Below are 10,400 nucleotides of genomic sequence, written 5' to 3'. Positions count from 1 at the left end.
AGTCCTTCGTCCTACCTGCCACACCCCTCACATCCCCCCACTGAACTTGGGAGTGGATCCGTGTTCTAAACACGAGGTGACTCTCGGTTTGCAATGGATCACAAGGCGCCGGGCTTTCCAGAGTCAGCAGGATAAAGAAGTCATTCTGTCTCGGACTCCCCCATCCCCCGGTAACGGCGGCTGGTGCCTTTAAATGAGCCGAGGCTGGCCGGGCCGGAGCCGCTATGGGGGGGGGGGGGGTGCCTGTGGCACTGCAGAAAGTGGGCCTGAGCCTCGAGGATGGCGGTGCTGCAGGGACCCGTCCAGGCTGCTATATGGCAAGCACTAAACCACTATGCCTACCGAGATGCGGTTTCCCCCGCAGAACGCCTTTATGCAGAAGTACACTCAGAAGAAGCCTTGTTCTTACTGGCGACCTGTTCTTACCGCTCAGGAAAGGCCTATAAAACATATAGACTCTTGAAAGGACACAGTTGTACTACCCCGCAATGCAAATGCCTGCTTGCGAAATGTTGTGTTGATCTCAGCAAGCTTGCAGAAGGGGATCAAATCTTATCGGGTGGAGTGTTTCATAAGCAGAAAAGCCACGATGATATTATCGTTCCTGAGTTTGGTGATTCAGCTCGCTTTCCCCTTCCATCGTCGGGACATGTATATTGCAAGACAGATCGGCTTACCAAAGGATCAGAATGTGACCAAAAGAGCCTTCGTTGAAATCCTTTCCTCTGGTGTCCCTTTGAATCATGATGTGAAATAGGGGGGAAAAGCCAGATCCTGACCAAACATTTTGATTCACCTCTCTAGAGAGCTTTAGCAACTGCCTGTCCAAGTGTTGCGCCACAACACTTGGACCTCGTCCTAGTTTATGTCACAGACAGCCCGAGACCGTTCTTACGGAAACACCCCAGGACACCGTCGAATGAAACGGATGGAATTTAGAATCTTCCAATTCAAAGTACTCCTTGAATACAGACTCCCCAGTGTCTTCTATCGATTCAGCTGTCCTTTCACCTGATACTGTCCCACTGGGAACAGGAACTTCCATATGATCTAAACAGGTTCAACATAAACCAAAAACTGGTCGAAGTTTATTAGGAGGACCAGCAGCTGTTAGTCCATTAACCCCAAGTGTTGGCATTTTGCCATTAGAAACCCCAAGTCCCGGAGACGGACCCTATTGACAAAACTGCACTGGTATGAGACACCGTCTGTCATTGACGTGCCATCCACCGGAGCCCCTTCAAAAAAGCCTGTTGCCAGAATCGGCCAAACCGGAACACCGTCTGTCTTCTCGCAGAGGGGAAAGAGCCGAAAGGTAACTCCAGTCCTTGCAAAAACACAAAGTTCTGGTCCGCCGACAAGGGCAACACCTCAGGTATTGAGCCCCACTATGGCATCTCCCCCAAATGCACCGCCTCGAAGAAATTCACGACTCTTGACTAGTGACAGCTCCACAACCGAGGAGAATAGGAGAAAATTAAAAATGAAGTTTCCACCTAAAATCCCAAACAGAAGAACCAAAAGTAAAACTAATAAAGGAGCAATAACTCCACCGAACATAAGTGATAGCCTGGAAGTGACAAAATTGGACTCTTCCGTCATTTCAGAAGGGAAAATAGCCACAATCGCGCCTCAGATTCAGGCTTTTAATCTACAAAAAGCAGCAGCGGAAGGCTTGATGAGCCTTCTTCGTGAAAGGGGGAAAGGTTATTTAGCTTTGTGTTCTTACCACGGCAAAGAAGCTATCAGCATCTTGAGCCATCTAGCTTCTCACCACTGCAATACCGGTTGGGTACTGTGCCAAATCGGAAGGGCCTATTGTAAACTTTCAGAGTCCACGCAAGCTGAAAGACAATTCTCAGAGGTTAGGAGGATTGAGAATTACAGAGTCGAAGGCATGGAGATCTACTCTACAACACTTTGGCATCCTCCGAAAGAGGTTGCTCTTTCAGTTCTGTCCAAAGACTTCACAGACATGGATAAAAATTCGCCAGCCAGAGGCCTGGTGTGCTGCAGGGAACTGTTTCGGTCTGCAACGGGAACACGATATTGCGATTCAATTCTTCCAGAGAACTCTCGAAGTGGATCCAAATGATGCTTATGCCTATAGCGCATTAGGGCGTGAGCTTGTCTTCACTGAAGAACTGGACAAAGCATTAGCTTGTTTTCGAAATGCTATCAGGGTCAATCCTAGACATTGTAAGGCATGGTAAGTGCTAATGAAGCGTAAAGACAAAGCCCTATGGATGGTGCCGGTACTCGCTAATTTTTCTGGTTAGATAGCTCTTTATTGTCACGAATTTGGTGAAAAATACTTAGGGATGGTACCTACTGCTGAATAACTTCTAACTAAGATGTTTCCTTACGAAACGTATGTCTTGAACAAACTCTGAAGTGAACTCATGATCGTAGAATACCAGATCCTTATACTCAACAGTTTCAGTCTTCTAGCAAACTTTTGCAGACGCTGTAGTTGTCTTTGGTTTGTGTGTGTGTTTCTTTAGTTGTGTTCCTTGATTTGTTACTTTTTCTTCGAGCACCGAAGTGGTGATGGGGACAAGAAGTGCTTGGGAGACTGGAAAGGAATAGCATAGTTCACTTATTGGATAATAGAAAAATACATGGAAACAATTCACTAGCTGCTGCTTTTTGACAGTGTTCCAGTTTACGGAGTTACTATGAAGAACTTCACGTACCCTTTAATTTAGCAGTCTCTCTGTTTTACTCTTTTGTACTCGTGTATAAGTAGGCACATAGGAAATTACTACCTAGGTCATATTGTTATCAACTGAATAAGATAGGAAAAAGTGTGGTCCTACTTCTGCCTCAACACCATCCTCACCGTTGACATTTATTGCGTTTCTCTGGACTGACTTCATAGTTTAAACGTCAAGAGAAGGCCGGGCTCAGTGGCTCACGCCTGTCATCCCAGCACTTTGGGAGGCCGAGGCGGGCGGGTCACGAGGTCAAGAGATCGAGACCATCCGGGCCGACACGGTGAAACCCCGTCTCTATTAAAAGTATAAAGATTAGCTGGGCGTGGTGGCGGGCACCTGTAGTCCCAGCTACTCGGGAGGCTGAGGCAGGAGAATCGCTTGAACCCAGGGAGGTGGCGGTTGCAGTGAGCCGAGATCACACCATCGCACTCCAGCCTGGGCGACAGAGCGAGACGCCGTCTCAAGAGAAATAAATTAAAAAAAATAAATACATACATAAGTAAATATCAAGAGAAAGTATGATTCTGAAGTCATAACCCTGTGGTAGTTATTTTGTCAGATACGGTGATCTTTGGGGTGACTTATTACAGCAGTGGAGTTCTATCATTTGATTTGCTTCTAAATCTGAAGCATTATATTACTGAAACACTTTTTGATTTGCGAATATGTTGTTTAATGGATCATATCTCATTTTGCTGTAGTAGTTACATTGCCCGAAAGATGGCCAAAAAGATAGTGCCAGCTACTGCTGACCAACGTAACAATCAACTTGCCAATACTGCCTTCTCTTCCGATAGCTACGTTCTCCGTCCTATTTTAAGAACTCAGTTCTTCATAAGACTTGTGTGGTTTTCGATTTTTTCCCAAGTCTGGTTGATCCTTGTGTTGTTATTTTTTTAAATGTGTATCGTCTGTTCAGCTATTTTGCAGGAGTCGCATTCTTAAAAAAATCTTAACCCTATCAAAAATTGTGTTTGTTTAAAGGAGGATTATTCAGATTGGCCAGCTTTTACTAGGAAGAGTGTAAATGCTGACGTATTTAGGTAGCTCTAAATACTGAGCAACTTTATTCTAACCACAAAATAGATAGCCTTTCTTTTGTCTTCACTTTCACTATCATTAGCACAGTGTTTAATACCGTTTCTTCATCTATAACACAATTATAATGATATAGGAAGCCACTCAAATAAGGCAGACATGTTGCGTTGCGCTTAAAAAAAAAAAAAAAAAGAAGTCTCTCTGTGGCACGGAATGAGGTGTGGCTCGAATCTAGAATCTCCAGTGAAAACCAATGAAAGAGGGTGAAACCCCGTGTCTACCAAAAAAAAAAAAAAAAAAAAAAAAAAAAAAAAAAAAAAAAAAATGAGCCGGCCATGGTGGCGCTGAGACAGGAGAATCACTTGAACCCAGGAGGCAGAGGTTCCAGTGAGCTGAGATCACGCCACTGCACTCCAGCCTGGGGGACAGAGCAAGACTCCATCTCAGAAACAAACAAACACACAAAGCCAGTCAAGGTGTTTAATTCGACGGTGTCAGGCTCAGGTCTCTTGACAGGATACATCCAGCACCCGGGGGAAACGTCGATGGGTGGGGTGGAATCTATTTTGTGGCCTCAAGGGAGGGTTTGAGAGGTAGTCCCGCAAGCGGTGATGGCCTAAGGAAGCCCCTCCGCCCAAGAAGCGATATTCATTTCTAGCCTGTAGCCACCCAAGAGGGAGAATCGGGCTCGCCACAGACCCCACAACCCCCAACCCACCCCACCCCCACCCCTCCCACCTCGTGAAATGGGCTCTCGCTCCGTCAGGCTCTAGTCACACCGTGTGGTTTTGGAACCTCCAGCGTGTGTGCGTGGGTTGCGTGGTGGGGTGGGGCCGGCTGTGGACAGAGGAGGGGATAAAGCGGCGGTGTCCCGCGGGTGCCCGGGACGTGGGGCGTGGGGCGTGGGTGGGGTGGCCAGAGCCTTGGGAACTCGTCGCCTGTCGGGACGTCTCCCCTCCTGGTCCCCTCTCTGACCTACGCTCCACATCTTCGCCGTTCAGTGGGGACCTTGTGGGTGGAAGTCACCATCCCTTTGGACTTTAGCCGACGAAGGCCGGGCTCCCAAGAGTCTCCCCGGAGGCGGGGCCTTGGGCAGGCTCACAAGGATGCTGACGGTGACGGTTGGTGACGGTGATGTACTTCGGAGGCCTCGGGCCAATGCAGAGGTATCCATTTGACCTCGGTGGGACAGGTCAGCTTTGCGGAGTCCCGTGCGTCCTTCCAGAGACTCATCCAGCGCTAGCAAGCATGGTCCCGAGGATCCCAGCTCCCAGCAGAGGCACTTTTGGTCACACAGGATCCTGGGCAGGAAAGTTCTCAGCAGGCTTAGGCCTCCTAGCCAAAAAGCCAAAACCACTTCTGGGATTTTTTTCAAAGAGCCAGTGGTTCCACAAGGGGCCGTGGGTAGTTGTGGAAATGGAGAGAAGTGTTTGCACGTACATATTTGAGACAGGACGGACAGGGCTCGGTCACAGATCACTTAGGACACGGGCAGATGCACATTGAGAAAACTCTTCCGGCATCCTAGGGGAACAGAGGTACGATTTTTCGAGACAGTCGAGGGAGAAGCCACCCCAGATTTTAGGATTGGATCTTTATTCATATGTAGTTTCTATGAGGTATCCAAGTCCAGAAATCAACTCGCCAGTTCTGTACAGCATTCTGTAGGGAGATCAAATCTGGGATGTCAGAAGTGAAGAATTCAGGCCTTGGTAAGGGATTAGATTAGATGTACTTGAGCTTCTTTTGCAAAAAAAGAGAGGGCGGGGGATAGCGAGAGCCAGAGACCGAGACAGACAGACGGACAGACAGACAGAGAGAGAGAGAGAGAGAGAGAGACAGAGAGACAGAGACAGAGACAGACAGAGAGAGACAACGATACACAGAGAGAGAAAGACAGAAAGAGAGAGAGAGACAGATAAAGAGACAGACGGAGAGAGACAGATAAAGAGACAGACGGAGAAAGACAGAGATGGACAGAGACAGAGAGAAACAGAAAGAGAGAGAAACAGACAGGAAGGGAGAGAGACAGGCAGAGAGAGAGAGTAAGACAGAAGACAGAGTGAGAGAGACAGGCAGAGAGAGACAGAGAGAAGGAAAGAGAGAGACAGTCAGAGAAAGACAGAGACGGAGAGAGAGAAACAGAAAGAGAGAGAGAGACAGAGACAGAGAGAAACATACAGACAGGGAGAGAGAGAGAGAGAGACCGACAGACAGACAGAGAAAGGGAGTAAGACAGAAGACAGACACAGTGAGAGAGACAGGCAGAGAGAGAGAGAGAGAGAGAGGCAGAGAGAGAGAAACAGACAGGCAGAGAGAGAGAGACACAGAGAGAGAGAGAGAGAGAAGACAGACAGAGAAAGAGAGAGACAGAGACAGACAGAGAGACAGAGAGAGGGGGAGGAAGGGCGTGCTCAAGAAATAATCACACATATTTTATAATGCTTTTGATCCCATAAACGGTGGCCGGGGTATACTTTGAAAACAACGACAACGACAACAACAACGACAACGACAACAGCAACGACGACAACAACAACAACAACAACAGCAACAAGAGCAGCAGCAGCATTCGCCTACGGATTTCTAGAAAATAAGATGTCATGATGAAGGATAGTAAACATCAACCGGCTCTCACTGCACGTTGAGAGAGTCACAAAAGCGCTAGTTCACAACAGGAAAAAACGGCAGCTAACGTGTCTTGGGGAAAATAGACGTCTTCCTGAAAACTGGGGATTTCTACTTCACCTGAAAAGAAAGACATACGAGAAAGGAAAAACACGAACAAAACAAAACAGAACGAAACAAAACAAGCCAACAAACACGGGCCAAGGCGCCGTCCCTGGAAATCTTAAGTGAGCAAAGTTATTAGTTTTCAGAAAGCGTTTCTATTTTGGGCAAGTACTGAGAAGGCCCAGACTAGAGCCGTGGCGCCCTTCGCATTGTGAAACTCTGCTGGCCGGAGGGCGGAGAAACTAAAACATCGTGATAAAAGGTGACCGAGACCCAGCCAGGGTGAAGCTTTCCTAGGGAGGGAGGCCTGAGGCGGGAAGCAGCGGGGGGAAAAGCCTCACAACTGCAGACCCGCCCGCTTGCCCACGCGGGTCAAGGGGCTATGCCATCGGCCCAAGCTGCCTCCGGGGAAGTGGGACCGTGCCGCCCCCATCTTCAAAAACGGTGGCCCCCGAGTGAGGCCTGACGCCCACCGATGCAAATGTCAGCCTGGCAAGAATGAGATCGCCGGCAAGGGGTGGGGGAAGGGGAGAGAAGACGGAGGCACACCGGGGTGGCTCTGGAAGGTTTCCAAGCAGGGTGTTGGGAGGCGGGGGGGGGGGGGGCGGTTTGGGGGAAACCCACCTAACCGACTCACTAAATTAAGGTGAAGGGACGTGGGTAGTGGGGGGAGCCGGGGGGCAACTTGAAAATTAAACTGACCCTTCCCAAAGCCCAAGTAGAAGAGTCTAGGCGCCAAAACACAAAGAAAAGTAAAGCGCCGATCAAAGAACAATAGGGCCCCCGCCAGGGCGGAGGTTCCCTAGGCGAGGTTCCCTAGGCAACGAGGGAGAGAGGGAGGGGCCTCCAGAAGGGAGAGAGAGAAACCCGTTGCCCCAGGCTCGGTGAAGTCGGCGAGACCTCCCTCCGTGTCACGTCGACTTTCAATAACAGTGGCCGCTAGGTGATGCCCGAAGACAACCGATGCCTGCCTGCAAATGTCCGTCAGCAGGGAAAAGAATTAATGAATTAATTAATTTCCGTATTTATTTAGAGACCGAGTCTCACTCACTCTACAGCCTGGGCCGTAGTGCAGTGGCGCGATCTCGGCTCCCTGCAGCCTCCGCTTCCCTGGTTCAAGCGATTCTCCCGCCTCAGCCTCCCGAGGAGCTGGCATTACAGGGGCCTGCCCCACCGCTCCCGACTCAGCTTTGTATTTTTAGTAGAGACGGGGTTTCGCCGTGTTGCGTCCGGCCTTAACAGTTTATGTTGAAGTCGAGGAGCTTATCGGGGAAATAGGAGAAGTACGGACGCCACACGTGACCGAGAGAAAAGTCTGAAAATGCCCCTCGCATCCAAGCGGGGACCCGGCCTCGACCTCCCGAAATCGTACACCGAGTGGGGAAGCCCAGCAAGGCCCGCCTGTCTAGATTCCTCTCGGCCTCTCTAAGCACCGAAGCACGCGCTTCTCACTCTCGTGGAAGGGGCAGGGCCCTACCCGGCACGGGGGTGTCTGACAGACTGACAGAGAAAGAGACAGACATAGAAAGACAGAGATGGACAGCGAGAGATAGAGAGAAACAGACAGAAAGAGAAAGAGAGAGAGACAGAGACAGAGACAGAGAGAGAGAGACAGACAGACAGACAGGGAGGGAGAAAGACAAACAGAGAGAGAGAGAGAGAGAGAGAGAGACAGACAGACAGACAGACAGACAGAGAAACAGACAGAAAGAGAGAGAGAGACGGAGAGAGAGTGAGTGAGAGGGAGAGAGAGAGACATGGAGGGAGAGAGACAGACAGAGAGAGAAACAGACAGAAAGAGAGAGAGAGACGGAGAGAGAGTGAGTGAGAGAGAGAGAGAGAGACATGGAGGGAGAGAGACAGACAGAGAGAGAAACAGACAGAAAGAGAGAGAGACGGAGAGAGAGTGAGTGAGAGAGAGAGAGAGACATGGAGGGAGAGAGACAGACAGACAGAGAGGCAGGCAGAGAAAGAGAGTAAGACAGAAGACAGACACAGTGAGAGAGACAGGCAGAGAGAGAGAGAGACAGAGACAGAGAGAGAGAAAGAGAAAGAGACAGACAGAGATGGACAGAGAGACAGAGACAGAGAGAGAAACAGACAGACAGGGAGGGAGGGACGGAGACAGGCAGAGAGAGAGAGACAGGCAGACAGCCAGAGAAAGAGAGTAAGACAGAAGATAGGCACAGAAAGAGAGACAGACACAGAGAGAGACAGAGAGACAGAGAAAAAGAAAGAGAGAGACAGACAGACAGAGAAAGAGACAGACAGAGAGAGAGAGAGGCAGAGAGAGAAACAGACAGACAGGGAGAGAGGGACGGAGACAGACAGAGAGAGAGAGAGAGACAGGCAGACAGCCAGAGAAAGAGAGTAAGACAGAAGATAGGCACAGACAGAGAGACAGACACAGAGAGAGACAGAGAGACAGAGAAAAAGAAAGAGAGAGACAGACAGACAGAGAAAGAGACAGACAGAGAGAGAAAGAGAGAAACAGACAGAAAGAGAGAGAGAGAGAAACAGAAAGGGAGGGAGAGAGAGGGAGAGACAGACAGACAGACGGACAGGCAGAGAAGGAGAGTAAGACAGAAGACAGACACACACAGTGAGAGAGACAGACAGAGAGAGAGAGAGAGAGAGAGAGAGAGAGGCAGAGACAGAGACAGAGAGAAAGAGAGAGACAGACATAGAAAGACAGAGATGGACAGAGAGACAGAGAGAAACACCCAGAAAGAGAGAGAGAGACAGAGAAAGAGAAAGGGAGGGAGAGAGAGAGAGAGAGAGAGAGAGAGAGACAGACACACAGACAGGCAGGCAGGCAAGGAAACAGAGTAAGACAGAAGATAGGAACAGAGAGAGAGAGAGAGAGACAGAGAGACGCAGAAAAAGAAAGAGAGAGGCAGACAGACAGAGAAAGACAGAGACAGACAGAGAGAAACAGGCAGAAAGAGAGAGAGAGAGAGAAAAACAGACAGGAAAGGAGAGAGAGAGAGAGACAGAGAGAGAAAGAGAATAAGACAGAAGACAGACACAGTGAGAGAGGCAGAGAGAGAGAGAGAGAGAGAGAGACAGAGACAGAGACAGAGAGAAAGAGACAGACAGACAGAGAAAGAGACAGACAGAGAAAGACAGAGAGAGAAAGAGAGAAACAGGCAGAGAGAGAGAGAGCTAGCGAGAGAGAAACAGAAAGGTAGGGAGAGAGAGAGAGAGACAGACAGACAGATGGACAGGCAGAGAAGGAGAGTAAGACAGAAGACAGACACAGTGAGAGAGACAAGGAGAGAGAGAGAGAGAGAGACAGAGACAGAGACAGAGACAGACGACAGAAAGAAAGAGAGAGACAGACAGACAGAAAAAGACAGAGACGGACAGAGAGAGACAGAGAAACAGAGAGAAAGAGAGAAAGACAGAGAGAGCGAGAGAGGGAGAGAGAGAGAAACAGAAAGGCAGGGAGAGAGACAGAGAGAGACAGACAGATAGACAGGCAGAGAAAGAGAGTAAGACAGAAGATAGGCACAGAGAGAGAGACAGAGAGACACAGAAAGAGAAAGAGAGAGGCAGACAGACAGAGAAAGGGACAGACAGAGAAAGACAGAGACAGAGAGAGAGAGAGAGAGAGAGAGAGAGAGAAACAGACAGAAAGAGAGAGGGACAGGGAGAGAGAGAGACAGACAGACAGACGGACAGGCAGAGAAGGAGAGTAAGACAAAAGATACACACAGAGAGGGAGAGACAGAGAGAGAGAGAGACAGAGACAGAGACAGAGAGAATGAAACAGACAGACAGAGAGAGACAGTGAGAAACAGACAGAAAGAGAGGGAGACAGAGAGAACAGACAGGGAGGGGGGAGAGAGAGAGAGAGAGAGAGAAGCAGAAAGGGAGGGAGAGACAGAGAGAGACAGACAGACAGGCAGA

The 10,400-nt window shown here is 49.3% G+C and overlaps 1 pseudogene across 1 annotated transcript; it reads left to right on the top strand.

Moving 5' to 3' along the window:
* Window positions 1-236: 236 nt before the first annotated feature.
* CDC27P9 (cell division cycle 27 pseudogene 9) lies at window positions 237-4,080 on the top strand (annotated as a pseudogene). Its single transcript, XR_430342.5, has one exon. The product of XR_430342.5 is annotated as a cell division cycle 27 pseudogene 9 (transcript).
* The last annotated feature ends 6,320 nt before the right edge of the window (window positions 4,081-10,400 follow it).

This window comes from Homo sapiens, chromosome 21 (genome assembly GCF_000001405.40).
Source record: "Homo sapiens chromosome 21, GRCh38.p14 Primary Assembly".
NCBI classification, from domain to species: Eukaryota; Metazoa; Chordata; class Mammalia; order Primates; family Hominidae; genus Homo; species Homo sapiens.
This window is presented reverse-complemented; position numbering and strand designations above follow the sequence as displayed.